The following is a 14950-nucleotide window of genomic DNA, read 5'->3' on the forward strand; positions in this document are numbered from 1 at the left end:
TTTCCAGCAACAAACATCATATAACAACAAAAACATTGTTTTTGAAATGCTCTCTTTGAAGCACAGGTTTCTCCCTTAAAGAGGTTACTCTAGCCCCCTTACTGTCACCTGTAGCAAGAAGGAACAAATTTTGTGATTTTTTTTGTGCGTGTGAAAATAAATGTATCCCAGTGATATGTATGATTATCACATTGATGATTTTACCTCCTCTTGATGCTGACTGAGAGCACAAACTGGAAACAAGAGATATGTTTGTCTTACCATTTTCTTGCTATTTGTCGGTATCATTACCATTTTCTTTAATCCATAGCTTGTTCGAAAAGTCTTTTTAAGTCATTTGCCCATTTTGTGGTGGTTGGTTTAGTTAAAACTATTATCTCTAAATCCAGAGTACTGACATATGTAAACTGTTCTAACGTGCTCAAGCAAATGAATGACTAAGAGATCTAAATTAATGTGTATATTAAACATTAAAAATCTTTACCTACTTTCTTATTTTTTAGGTAAATACAAATAGAAGTTGTAACATTTTATTCCTACCCCTCAATGACTCATCTTGCTAATCCCCTGGGCACCCACATTTTATTTCAGAGACCACGGCTTTGAGTACTAGAAAACAAACACAAGTGATTTAATGGGAGGACAGGTGAAATTATGAAGTTTAATTTGTCTTTGGGATTGTATTTGTGGCTTTGAGTATTCCTTTGAGTATTTCCTTTAATACGCTTTAAGTATTCCTCTAAAGTTTTTCTTGTGTGTATATTCAAATAAATTAGTTGGTTTTACACCATATTATCCCAACCTCTTCAGAATAGGCAGCCACTCTGAGCCTCATGGAGACCTGGCTAGCCTTGTTAGTATCTCCATGCCCTCTGAAATTCTTTGATAGCTCCACAGCCTCTGCCCTTTAGGTTGGACAATAAGGTGCTTTGGGTACAAGGAGAGGACTGAGGTGACTTACCTCAGTGTAGAAAGACAAATAGTTGTGTTCTGTAACAGACTGAGCAAACGTTTTTTGTGACCCTATTAAAACTGAAGATTTAAGAGAAAAAATTATTAGCTCTGACTGCATATTTAAAAAAAAGAGGAAGAAGAATACAAAAAATGAGAAATAACTCTAGGTTAAGAGTTGCTCGAGAAGTTATGCCCCTTTTAAGCCTTAATGAAAAATTCTTGTTTTTTTTCTTAATATAAGAAGACAAAGATAAAGGACTAGCCACTGACCTTGAAACAAGGAGAGAAAAAAACGGAGTTGGTCCCTGAGAAATAGAAGTTGTCAAAACAAAACCTGCCTAGGCGAAATTTAATAGTCATTTGGATAAAAACGCTGTGCTAGTTTATTTTTCAGAGCATGTAACCCAGTACACGAGGGACTTCATCCCTCGTTAAGCCTGCAGAATTACTTTTGAGAGGAGAATTTTCACTATCTGTTTGGGAAACAATTATGTAAAAGGTTTGTTGCTGCATTTTGTAATTTTTCCCATTACTATAATTGCATGAGTTTTGAAGACACAAGCCAATTAGAAATTATAAAGACTACTCTGTGTAGCTGCAGGTGGCTTACAGGATGGCATCCACAACTAGAACCACACCTTCCAAATTATTGAGTGGTTGGAAAATACATTTTTTGACTTGGGAAGAGCAGTGTATATTATATGGAATGTTAAATTGGAATGCTAGCTAAGGTACACCATATTATCAAGGTATGATGGATATCAGACACTGGAAGGAGTTGTGAGACAGGGCATCTGTTTGCAGTTTCAAAGTAGGTGATTAAAACCCAGTTTCACCAAATCAACAAGAAAAAAAAAATTAAAAAGTGGTCAAAGGACATAGACACTTCTCAAAAGAAGACATACGAGCAGCCAACAAACATGAAAAAGATGTTCAACATCACTAATCATCAGAGAAATGAAAATTAGAACCACAATTAGATACTGCCTCACACTAGTCAGAATGGCTATTGTTAAAAAGTCAAAAAATAACAGATGTTGTCAGGGATGTGGAGAAAAGGGAACAATTATACACCGTTGGTGGAAATGTAAATCAGTTAAACCCCTATGGAAAACAGTATGGAGGTTTCCCAAAGAACTACAAATAGAACTACTGTTCTACCCAGGAATCTGCCCAAAGGAAAATATTAATAAATCATTCTACCAAAAAGACACCTGCCCTCATATGTTTATCACAGCACTGCTCACAATAGCAAAGTCATGGAATCAACCTAAGTGCCCATCAATGGTAGACTGGGTAAAGAAAATGTGGTACATATACCCCATGGAATACTACACAGCCATAAAAAAGAAATAATTATGTCCTTTGCAGCAACATGGATGCAGCCATTATGGTAATGCAGGCCATTATCCTAAGTGAATTAATGCAGAAACAGAAAATCAAATACTGCATGTTTTCACTTTTAAGTGGGAGCTAAACAATGGGTACATATGGACATAAAAATTGCAACAGTAGACACTGGGAACTCCAAAACAGGGGAGGAAGAGAAAGGGGGAACATGTTGAAAAACTACCTATTGGGTATTAGGTTCACAATTTGGGTGATGGGTCCAACAGAAGCCTAAACCCCAGCGTTACACAATAAGCCCATGTAACAAACCTGCACATGTATCCCCTAAATCTAAAATAATTTTTAAAAACACTTGGTTTTATGACTCTTCAATTCTGTAGTCACTTTGAGTATAGAAAATAGTTAAAAGTCTAGATATCTGTGGACAAGGAATTTGTTGGCAAAGGATTTCTTTGAAGAAAGGTGCTGGGTGAATTGTGAGTTGGGCCTCCTCCGTTATCAAGGAAGATGGGTAGATGGTGTCTACCTCTTGCATTGGTCTTCAAAAAGACCCTCTGGAGTCTTGAAATGTGCCCTCGGCAATTAGCCAGGCATCATGGACAGTGTCTGCCTTTTTCTCCGGGGAATCCAGAATATGAGGGGTGTGTCTACGGCCATACCACTCTGAATGTGCCCCATCTGGTCAGCATATAATGCGCTGGGATAGCTTATATCCCTGAATTTATTTAGATAAAGGATTTGTGGGGATTTCCTATGATTGATGTGAACAATGAATGAAAGAGTTGATGTGGCCATCTTAGGTCCTGTTCAATAATGTTGATTCTCTAATTGCAGAGGGCAATGGCACCTCAGCAGACAAAGCGAGCTGGAGGTCACCGACAGCATCCCAGCAGCTGCAGAAAATGCCAGGCGACCAGCCAGATTGGAGCTGCATTGCCCGAGTCTATGAAGTGGCTGCAGAGGATTGCAATACTTGCGAATCCCCAAAGAGCTTTCAAATGTGCCCCCAAAATAAGATGTTTAAATACCTGACAGGCCTAGAGAGCATGAAGTCAACTTGCAATGCTACTGATCAAATGAGAATGTTCCTTCGTCCCTTTCCTCTCCTGCCTTCCCCAGTATAACCATGACAGGACAATAAGATGGGGGACAAGGTTTTGGAAGTATAAGACAGGGATAGGAGTAGAGAACATGGGGCAAGGTGATTTAAACCTGTGTTTGTGGCCTAAAGTGACCAGGGCATTTTGTAATCTAACCATGAACCAAAAACTTACGAGACTTCCCAAGGTTACATCTGGGGAGTGGAAGAACTTTTCTCTACTGAATGAATTTTATAAATACAGTGGGAGGCAGAAGTAAAGATACTTGTGAATTATATCTCAGGAGTTCTGCTTATTCAGCACCCTGGTCACAGAGCCACCCCTTTGCTCTGGGCCCCCAGAACAAAGAGGCAGTAGGACACAGGAAGAACAGTGTCCTCAGTGATCCAGGGACTCAAAGACAGGCCAATGTGTGATGTTTTAGCCCCTCCTCTGGCTGCAGTGGCAGGGCTGGGGTCAGAGGGAGGATGTTATTGTGGAGAGTGCTGTTTCTTTTGATGTGCAAGGAGGGGTACTATGGGCTGAATGTGTGTCCTCCCAAGTTCATATGTTGAAATCCTAATACCAAGGTGGTTGTATTAGGGAGGTGGGGCCTCTGAGAGGTGATTAGGTTCTGAGGGTAAAGGCCTCATGAACGGGATTAGTGATTTCATAAAAGAGGCTCCAGAGAGCTGTTTTGCCCATTCCGCCATGTTAGGACCAGCGAGAAAGCACCATCTGTGAACCAGAAAGTGGGCCTTCATCAGACCCTGAATCTGCCAGTGCCTTGATTACGGACCTCCCAACCTCGAGAACTGTAAGAAATACACTTCTGTTGTTTGTAAACTATCTGGCTTATGGTATTTTGTTATAGCAGCCCAAATGGACTAAGACAACGGATGTTCAGCAGGATCTGTTGGTCTCTTCTTCAATGAATTATTAAAGGACTGGTAGGTGTTGTGCATCTGAGGACTGGAATGCAATGCAAGGTGTATGTCTTCCCACCATATATATATATATATATATATATATATATATATGTATGTATAATGCAAAGGTAACCTCTCTCAGTATTTCTGCGTGTGTGTGTGTGTGTGTGTGTGTTTGCACAAGGAAGTGAGGAAACAAAGTAACAAGTACCAAAGGATAAAGGCATGAGTTTATAACTCAGGGAAAAATCACAGAATCTTACCAGTTCAGGGTGACAAAACTAGTGACACTCAGTACCATGCAGGGATTCAGATTACAGATTTTGGAGTCAGGCTGTCTGAGTTTGAATCCTGGGACTTTGGATAAGTATGCCCTTCTGTTTCCTCACCTATAAAACAGGTAAACTGGTTATCTCATGGGATTATTATAGAAATTAAAGAAGATAATCTCTGTAGAGTGCCTGCTGTAGTTGTTGGTACTTGATAAATGTGCTGTAATTGTCAGCTAAGATTGCTATTGTTTCCTAATACGTAGAGTGAATTCCCATTATTCCTGGTATTTATATTCCACAAAGTTGCCACAAACACTGAGTTAGCAAATACTGAACCATTGATCCTAGGGGAAATACAGGGTTAGTCTCTTGCAAGCCTATGGTCACATTTTTGTCAACAAATGAATACATAACGTTGTTTTATGTGTGTTTCTATTTAAAGACACCTTATTTAATATGTAGTGTTGATTCATTAACATTGAACTCTCAGCTAAGAGCACTAGAGCGGATGACTTCATGAAGATTATCTAAGACACACATTTTCTTTTTAAGGCACATTCTTGTGATTAGGAATGCCAGATAGTGCTTTGGCACTACACTTGGAGGCCATTTTAAACAGAAAAATCTCTAAGAAAAAGCACAAAAGTGCAAAAATCATGGTATTCAATAAACTGCATAAAGGATACTTGTTTACAGTATGCGAGCTGAAACCAAAGGGCAGAATATCATTTGTTTGACCTCAGCTAGGAAGGTGCATGTTGGCTGATTTGAAAATTACAGGCAGCTCTGCACCTGCCTGTAAATAACTGTGAAAGCCCCAGAGTATTGATTTGTGGTACAAAAAAATTTTAGTGAATAGGCAAATTTGCAACTATAGAATCCGTGAATAATGATGATTGACTATATCTGGGGGCTGTGGTTTGAATGTGTCCCCTGAAGTTCATGTGTTAGAAACTTAATTCCCAACTGATAAGAGGGACTTTTTGTTTTGTGTTGTTTTTGTTTTTTTTTGAGATGGAGTCTCACTCCGTCACCCAGGCCGGAGTGCAGTGTGCAGTGGCCTGATCTTGGCTCACTGCAGCCTCTTCCTCCCTGGTTCAAGTGATTCTCCTGCCTCAGCCTCCCAAGTAGCTGGGACTACAGGTGCACACCACCATGCCTGGCTAAAAACCCCATCTCTACTAAAAATAGAGAAGTGGGACCTTTAAGAGGCATTTAGGTCATGAGGGCTCTGCCCTCATGAATGGATTAATGTCATTATCCTGGGAGTAGATTTGTTACTGTGAGAGTGGGCTTGTTATAAGAGTGAGTTTGGCCCCCTCTTGCTGTCTCTGACATGCTCTCCTGCCCGTGTGATTACTTCTGGCTTTCACTATGGGATGATACAGCATGAAGGCCCTCACCAGGTGCTGGTGCATGCTCTTGGACTTCCCAGCCTCCAGAACCATGAGACAAATAAATTTCTGTTTATGAAAAATTGCCCAGTCTGTGGTATTCAGCTATAGCATCATAAAATGGACTGAGACACTGGGTTATCAGCAATTGGTACTCCAAGCTCTGGTTAACTCTTTCCAGCAAAGGGAAAATGACATGTCGAGGCAGCTCATTCTGTCCTTGACCAGCTCTAACTTTTACAAAGCTTGCTAAATTCCACCCCATAGGACCTCGCAGAAGCACTTTAACAATTTCTTTCAAATGACATTCCTGTACTGGAACACAGCTATTGTGTCTCCTTAGACTGAAGTGTAGGTTAAGCATTCTCATTTCCTGTAACAATTTGCCATATGATAATAGTTTGATTGCCCTCATTGTCCTTATTGCCCTCCTTGGAAGGTATTTCAGTGTTTCAATATCTTTTTTAGAGAGTGAAGCCCAGGACTAAAGCTGAGTATGTGAGTGCCAGGTGAGGTCTGATCAGGGTTTCAGAAAAAAGTGATGATTATCCTTTTCATCCTAAATGCTATATTTTGCTAAATATTTTTAGAGTTTATGTGGCAGGGACAATTGGTGCTCACACAGTAAATGCACATTTTTTAACGTTTCCTTGTCTTAAGCATCCAGATGGAGTCATATGACTAATTCTTGCCGATGGGTGACAGGTGGAAATAATACAAGCCTCCTGCAGGTCTGATGCGTAAGAACATCCCAAGGAATTCTCCATGGCCACCTAGGGAGTCATGGGCTCCAGATGACATAGCAACAAGGTAGAAGAATGCCTGGGTCCTGAGTCACCACATGGTGGAGAGCTGTGTGGAAGAGCTGTCCAAGCTGCCACAAGACTTTGCATTGACTGTAAAATAAAATTTATTTTAAAAACTGATTTTTGGCAGCATACAGTGTTAATTATGATAATGAATATAATATGTAATAGCTTTTTTAGTGGCCATATTATGCTGTTGTGACTCACACTGAGTTTGCTATAAACAAAAAATCCACTGTTCTTTTTAACATAGGCAGCTACTCAAATAGGTACTCCTTTCATGAACTTGCTGATATTTTTAGATATAAGCCCAATATAATACATTATCCTTATTAGGTTTTAATTTTTAGATCTAGCAAATCCCTTTCTAGCTTCTCAATAGCTTCTTAGATTGTGAATTTCTCAAGCAGCCATCCTGTCAAATTTTGTGTCTTCCACAAATGCGTGAGCTTTTTAAACTCCTCACTGATAAACATTTGATTATCCAATATCCTGGACCTTGGTATTCAGGCAAAGAAGATACAAATACTGTGTCTAGGCCAATTACACACTATTTTCCCATGTGAATTATTGGTCAATTCTAGCACTGTTCCTTCTTCTTCTTCTTCTTCTTTTTTTAATATTTTGTGTTCAATGTAACTGCTTATTTTATTGGTATCTCTTTTTCTCTGCTTTATTTTTAGTCTTACATTTTCAGTCTCTGGACACATATTCTTCTCTGTCCTTGAAAAGTACCTGTCAATAGCTAAAGGTATGCAATTCTGGAATCTGATGCTGGAGTCCAGGGATACAAACCCCACCCTTTGACAATGTCTACAAAGCAAAGTATTCCTCTAAAATCCTGTCACTTCTAAAAAAGTTTAAATATGTTGTTTTGTCTTCAAGCTATTTGTTTTCCTGGTGCAGTGGAAAAACACTGCCCTCAAAATTAGAACACTTTGGTTTGAGTCCTGGTTTTTCCAATTATAAGCTTAATGATCTTGGAAAAGTGCCTTAACTTCTGTGAAACTCAGGTTTGTTTGTTGGTTGCTTTTTAAAATCTGTGAATAGAGATAATTATTTTCATCTTGGATACTCCCAAGATTGTGTGAGGATTGAATGAGTGAATGGTGCCCAAATGTTTAGGACTGGATAAGTGTTCCTTTGTTGATTTCTGCACCAAGGATACTTCCTGTATCTTTCTGTTGGGTCCTTCATATCATCATGGAGTGTACGGTGGTCAGCAGGTTTGATGGATCTTGGCAGGTACTCAGGTATTACTTTTTATATCTGTCTCGGGAAGGGAGGAGAACCCCTTACTGACTATATTAAATCTATGCACAATGACTTCCTTCCTTTCTTCCTTCCCTTCCTTCCCTTCCTTTCTCTCTTTCTCCCTTTCTCTCTCTCTCTTTCTTTCTATCTTTCTTTCTTTCTTTCTTTCCTTCTTTCTCTTTCTTTCTTTCTTTTTCTTTTTCTTCCTTCCTTCCTTCCTTTCCTTCCTTCCTTCCTTGCTTCTTTCTTTCTTTCTTTCTTTTCTTTTCCTTTCTTTCTTTCTTTCTTTCTTTCTTTCTTTCTTTCTTTCTTTCTTTCTTTCTTTCTTTCTTTCTTTTTCCTTTTTTTTTCAGCAGAGTCCTACTCTGTTGCCCAGGCTGGAGAGCAGTGGTGCAATCTTGGGTCACTACAACCTCCACCTCCTGAGTTCAGCCAATTCTCCTGCCTCAGCCTCCCAAGTAGCTGGGATTACAGGCATGAGCCACTGTGACTGGCTAATTTTTGTATTTTTAGCAGAGACAGGGCTTCACCATTGATCGCCAGGCTGGTCTTGAACTCCTGACCTCAGGTGATCTGCCTGCCTCGGCCTCCCAAAGTGCTGTCTGCACAGTGATTTTCATTCCTCAAGGGTAGGTAAGGGCACTAGCTCTGGAGCTGCAGGTACCGGAGTTATTCTCGATGGGTTCAGCAACGGAGTTCTCCACTGTCCACTCTAGATGCTCCATAAGCAAAGTGTTTTAGGGTCACAGAGGTCTGGGAAGTGAAAAATCAGTCTTGAAGATTCACAATACAACATTAACATATTAAAGGCTCTGAGAAATCCTGCACTGAAAAACACTCATTTGATTTCATTTAATTTAGAAGTTCTTAAAATTATTTGACCTTGGAACCCTTTCTTCCATGGGAGTAATATTAGTGTCACAGTGAACTAGTTTCCAATGGAAGGCTCTTCTAGAAATGTTGGCCCAGGATAATCAACAGTGAAATGTCCTTCAGTGGATAATAATATGGCAGATTATTTTTATTCTGATCTTTTCATCACCTGGCCCTGTCCCAGCAAGGTTTTGGAGAGAAATAACAAGCCACTAGTATGTGTATTGGATTGCTAGATACCCTCAGATGCACTGAGAGAAGTAGTCCCCTGTGCCCGGCCAGCTCTCCAGGATGTTCCTGTGTATATTCCCAAACCTTGAGGTCATCCTTTAGGTGGTGTGACAGCAAATAGCTATTGGGAGCTGTGTGACTTTTGTCTGTGTCATTGAGAACAGGTTCTAAGGAAATTGAGGAAAGGACACAAGGAGGACACTGGAGGACCTCTTCCTAGCCACTACTGTGTTCTATGCTTCTTTACAGACATAGACACAGTACATGGCATAAACATAATATGTGGAATAACAGCAATCAGCTCAAGGAAATGTGAGGTTGAGGCAAACTCACTTTTTTTGCAGTCTTCATATTTTCCACTATTGTCTACTCCTCAAAACTCTTCTGTAACCCCTGATCAACTTTACCATTAATGATACTACTGATCCCTTGAACTTTGGGTTCTCATTTTCTGACAACAGCTGCCTTATCTGCTACTAGTTTATTGCTCTCAATACACTCACATAAATTCAATCATGACGATCACAGCTATTGCTTCCTGAGTACTTCACATGAATCAACGCATTTAATCCTTACATCAGTGTGATCCAGGAACATTTCAGAGAAGTTAAATTATTTTTGAGAGGGCATATAGCTAGTTAAAAGTAAAGCTGGACTTTGAAACCAGATATATTCTTCCCCAAAGCCCATCCTATATCAGTGGGTCTCTATTGCTTCTTGAGGATACACTGGGGACCTCCATTTCAGACAGCCTGTGAGCTACAGCAATCCTATACCCTCCAGCAATTTTTATTTCCTCACTTCCTTTACTTAATGCTGCATTGAGCTAATTCTGCCCTGATGATCCCTTCAAGGGCTTTTTCTTCTACTGCAGCTAATCTCTAGGCACTGCTAGAGGAGAAACTGAGTCACACAGATCTAGATGATGGCAGATATAAGCTTAGTTCAGGCTATTATAACAAATGATCATAGACTGGGTATCTTAAACAAGAAAATTTTACTTCTCACAGTTCTGGATGCTGGAAAGTCCATGATCCAAGAGCCAGCAAATCTAGTGTCTGGTGAAGGTCTGCTTCCTGGTTTGCAAATGACTGTCTTTTCATCTTTTTTGTGTATCCTTACATGGCAGAGAACAGAGAGAGACAGAGAAAGAGAGAGAGAGACAGAGAGCTCACGCACTCAGGTCTCTTCTTATAAGGTCACTAATTTCATTCATTCATTTGGGCACTATACCTCATGTCTTAACTATTTCCCAAAGGCCCCACCTCCTAATACTATAACACTGGGGGTTAGGATGTTAACACATGAATCTTGGGGGACACAAACATTCAGTTCATAGCATCTGCTCCCCAGCTTTACTCTGACCCTACTATGCTTGTCAGCCACTTTCATCTCTTATTGACCTAAAGCATACTTCATGAGAGTCACCCTTCTCTTTCCTTAAGCTCCAAAATCTTCCATTGCCATCACATATATTTCATACAGAAGACTGAGGAGGAAAGAGAATAATACAGTGAAGGAAAGGCAAAGTATTCAATGTGGAGATCAACTCCAAGATTTTTATTACCTCTGTCTTTATTTTAATGAATTGTTCACCCCTCTTTCCCTGTCATTCCGCCTTTCAGACTCAAAGGCAGCAGGATCTTAGCTCTGGTTATAGCCTCCTTTGGACTCTGGGACATCACTTCTTACCATTTTTGTCTCTTTTCTGCCAAATCTTTCTCTTCTCTGACATCTTAACAATTAGTCATTTGGGTTCTGTTGTTATGTTTTATATTTGTATTACCCCAGTGCATTGGGTTTCTCAAAGATTACTAATAAATTCTTTCTTTCTGGATCTAATGACTTTCTTCAGTTCCTATCAACTTTGACTCCTTCAGACACTTGATAATGCTGACTACTCATTAAAAAAAAATCTCTCATTGCTTTCATAGCAATGTGCTGTTTTTTTTTCCCTGCTCTTTTTTCTGTCTGTTGCTACCTCCTATTCTACTCTTACTCTCATTCTTATTCCTGTTTCCCAGAGCCAAAGCTGTATTCTTTGCTCTCCATTTCCCACACAGCTCTTGATGTCAGCAATCACTTATGATGAATGACTTTCAAATCTGCATTTATAATCCTACTTTTACCCTTGAACCAATTGTGCATCTCCAATTGGTTACAGCTGAACCCTAATTGGAAGGAAAATTAAAGGCTCTTACTTCTAAAATGGGTTCCTTTTTATAGCCCCTTTATTTTTGTTAGTCATCCCAGCCATATTAGAGTTTTCAAATAACTTTGAAGTTATGTTTTACATTATCCATCTCTTTCATACAATCTGCATTAGCTTTGTCCTTTTATTTCAAAATGCTTTTCATATTTTCTCATCTTCTGTATGCCTTTCCCTCCACCCCCCAGCACCATCCTGGTTAAAACTGAAGCCTGCAAAATTTGCTTTGGGTAGCCTCCTTCAAATAGCTGTGGACTCTGAGCACCCTCAATGATATCTGATTACGATTCCCTCAAGTTTACAGTTCTGGCAGTCTATCTTCCTTCCTCTAGTCAAAATTCTCTTTCTCAAAAAACAAAAACACAAAAACTCTTAAAATTCATCATCCCTGAGGTAGGATTATCTGTTAACAGTTTGTCACATTGCCCAATCCTATTAGCTTAACTCAAGGTTCTTTAAATTGAAGTGGAATCAAAGCTTTGAATGAAACAATGAGGCTCTAAATCTGAGTTTCAATCACTATAAATAAGAGCCTCTGAAAATAAGCAGCTTGTATGATTACCTACTTTGCTTGTATAAAAGCCTGGTGCCACTATCCCTGCTGAAGTCCTAATCTTGTCAGCTCTATGTCTTACTTCTTTGAATCCAGGGCCTCCTTCTTCCAATCAATCCAGCTACTAGCTTCCTACAAATATCATCAATTCTCTTCATAAAAGCATAGTAAGCAGAAATGCTTTGCTAGTATTGGAGTCATTTTTGGTAACCTTATAAATAAAAATATTTAGCCCAGAAAACTAAATTTTATCAAACATTTGCAATTTAATAAAATGCTTTAATGAGGAGTTTGGCTAAAATTTAATTCTAGTTGAGGTTATAGTTGGATTTAATGTAATGAACCCAGTGGGTGGGTGTGAGGGTGGGAGGGGCCTGGCTCTCATTGCTTCCAACACTGCCTACTGTACTAAGTTACGTCTGTCTGCTTGTTTTTGACATTTCCTGCGGACTATTTCCTGTCACTACTGTTCTAGTGTTAGTCTGGATTACTAAATATTCTCTTGGTCAGCAGGTGGGCCTTTTCCTCTCCTCACTCAATCCTTCATTCTTTCTCTTCTCTGTGCTCAGATTTTGTTATGCTTTTTACCCTTCATTGAATCATATTTAGCTCTCAAGGACAAATATAAATGTTACTTTCTCTATAAAAGCATTCTTTCACTTTATTCAAAACCAATTTCTCTCATTTGAATTTCTATTGTAATTATGGTCACAGCCACTTAAGTCAGCATATAATTGTTCTCTGAATTTTTCATTGCTTTTTATTTTGCCTCCCTAACTTGTGGGTCAGAATGACATGTCTTTTTCCTTTAACTTGTATACATTATAAACATTAGATAAATATTTGTGGATGGGCAGGTTGTTCTTCCATGTGTATGTAAGTTGACCTCAGTTGGCAACTATTTGAATGTATTGCTGAAGTTATTACTTTGACTTAGTTAAGAATGGCTTTATTTTTTCCACCTGAAGAAGTTAAAAAAATGCCCATTGTATTCATTTTCATGCACGTCTGTGTGAAGAGACCACCAAACAGGCTTTGTGTGAGCAATAAAGCTGTTTATTCTGGGTGCAGGCGGGCTGAGTCCGAAAAGAGAGTCAGCGAAGGGAGATAAGGGTGGGGCCGTTTTATAGGATTTGGGTAGGTAAAGGAAAATTACAGTCAAAGGGGGTTTGTTCTCTGGCGGGCAGGAGTAGGGGTCGCAAGGTGCTCAGTGGGGGTGCTTTCTGAGCCAGGATGAGCCAGGAAAAGGACTTTCACAAGGTAATGTCATCAGTTAAGGCAAGGACCGGCCATTTACACTTCTTTTGTGGTAGAATGTCATCAGTTAAGGTGGGGCAGGGCATATTCACTTCTTTTGTGATTCTTCAGTTACTTCAGGCCATCTGGGCGTATACGTGCAAGTCACAGGGGATGCAATGGCTTGGCTTGGGCTCAGAGGCCTGACATTCCTGCCTTCTTATATTAATAAGAAAAATAAAATAGTGTTGAAGTGTTGGGGCGGCGAAAATTTTTGGGGGGTGGTATGGAGAGAGAATGGGCGATGTTTCTCAGGGCTGCTTCAAGCGGGATTAGGGGCGGCGTGGGAACCTAGAGTGGGAGAGATTAAGCTGAAGGGAGGTCTTGTGGTAAGGGGTGATATTGTGGGGATGTTAGAAGAAACATTTGTCGTATAGAATGATTGGTGATGGCCTGGATACGGTTTTGTATGAATTGAAAAACTAAATGGAATAACAGAAGGAGAAAAACAGGTATAAAAGGTCTAAGAATTGGGAGGACCTAGGACATCTGATTAGAGAGTGCCTAAGGAGATTCAGCATAGTCCTGCCAGCAAAGATTATTTATTTACTTCAAGAGTTAAGAGTGGCGGTTTGGGGATAGCACCAGGAGATATCAGCTGTGATGGCTTGGAGAAACAGTGTAAACCGGCACTGTAAGTAAGAGCAGGGCACGTATGAGTAGTTGAGAACGGTGAATAGGAGTATGACTAGACAAAAGATAGTAGGGATGACAAGTTTTTTTGGGGCACAGTCTAAGTTGGTCTGGTGTCGAATGAGACTGGGGCCCAATAAAAAGGAGCGTCTATACAGGAGCTTAAATGGGCTGTACCTTGTAACATTCTGAGGACAGGCCTGAATTCTGAGAAGCGAAAGTGGTAAAAGTATTTATTGTCCAGTCCTTTTTAAGTTGGTGGCTGAGCTTGGTGAGGTGTGTTTTTAAAAGACCTGTAGTCCGTTCTACTTTTCTTGAAGACGGAGGACCGTAAGGGATATAAAGGTTTCACTGAATACTAAGAGCCTGAAAAACTGCTTGGCTGATTTGACTAATAAAGGCTGGTCTGTTACCAGACTGTATAGAGGTGGGAAGGCTAAACTGAGGAATTATGTCTGACAGAAGGGAAGAAATGACTGCGGTGGCCTTCTCAGACCCTGTAGGAAAGGCCTTTACTTATTCAGTGAAAGTGTCTATTTAGACTAAGAGGTATTTTAGTTTCCTGACTTGGGCATGTTGAGTAAAGCTAATTTGCCAGTCCTGGGTGGGGGCAAATCCTTGAGCTTGATGTGTAGGGAAGGGAGGGGGGCCTGAATAATCCCTGAGGAGTAGTAGAATAGCAGATGGAACACTGAGAAGTTATTTCCTTGAGGATAGATTTCCAGGATGGAAAGGAAATGAGAGGTTCTGAGAGGTGGGTTAGCGGCTTATACTATAGCATAGCCTGCCTTTGCTGGTGTGTGGCGATTAGGCCTGGTGGAACTACCATCAATAAATCAAGCGTGATCAGGGTGAGAAACAGGAAAGAAGGAAATATGGGGAAATGGGGTGAATATTAGCTGGATCAGAGAGATACAGTCATGGGGGTCAGGTGTGGTATCAGGAATAATGTGAGAGGCCAGATTGAAGTCCGGGCCAGGAACAATGGTAATTGTGGGACTTAAAGAGTGACTACAGCTGAAGGAGCCGGGGAGCAGAAAGTATATGCGTCAGGTATGAGGAAGAAAATAGATTTTGGAAGTTATGAGAAATGTAGAGAGTGAATTGAGCATAGTTT

General features: G+C 40.1%; 1 long non-coding RNA gene across 1 annotated transcript in view, besides 2 other annotated features; it reads left to right on the forward strand.

Annotated features, from left to right (window-relative positions):
* The window catches only part of LOC107986623 (uncharacterized), a 324476-nt gene that overhangs the window by 25907 nt on the left and 283619 nt on the right, over positions 1–14950 (forward strand). The window contains exon 2 of the long non-coding RNA XR_001744259.1: positions 3139–4200. This is a non-coding gene — a long non-coding RNA (uncharacterized LOC107986623). The remainder of the gene's footprint in view (positions 1–3138; positions 4201–14950) is intronic.
* Positions 12273–13228: an enhancer, noted in NCBI's record as "OCT4-NANOG-H3K27ac hESC enhancer chr6:91379294-91380249 (GRCh37/hg19 assembly coordinates)". NCBI's record gives its function as "activates a minimal SCP1, AML or CMV promoter by ChIP-STARR-seq in naive and primed H9 embryonic stem cells {active_cell/tissue: H9 hESC(naive and primed)}" and the evidence as "EXISTENCE:reporter gene assay evidence [ECO:0000049][PMID:30033119]".
* Positions 13229–14183: an enhancer, noted in NCBI's record as "OCT4-NANOG-H3K27ac hESC enhancer chr6:91380250-91381204 (GRCh37/hg19 assembly coordinates)". NCBI's record gives its function as "activates a minimal SCP1, AML or CMV promoter by ChIP-STARR-seq in naive H9 embryonic stem cells {active_cell/tissue: H9 hESC(naive)}" and the evidence as "EXISTENCE:reporter gene assay evidence [ECO:0000049][PMID:30033119]".

This window comes from Homo sapiens, chromosome 6 (genome assembly GCF_000001405.40).
Source record: "Homo sapiens chromosome 6, GRCh38.p14 Primary Assembly".
In the NCBI taxonomy this organism is placed as follows: Eukaryota; Metazoa; Chordata; class Mammalia; order Primates; family Hominidae; genus Homo; species Homo sapiens.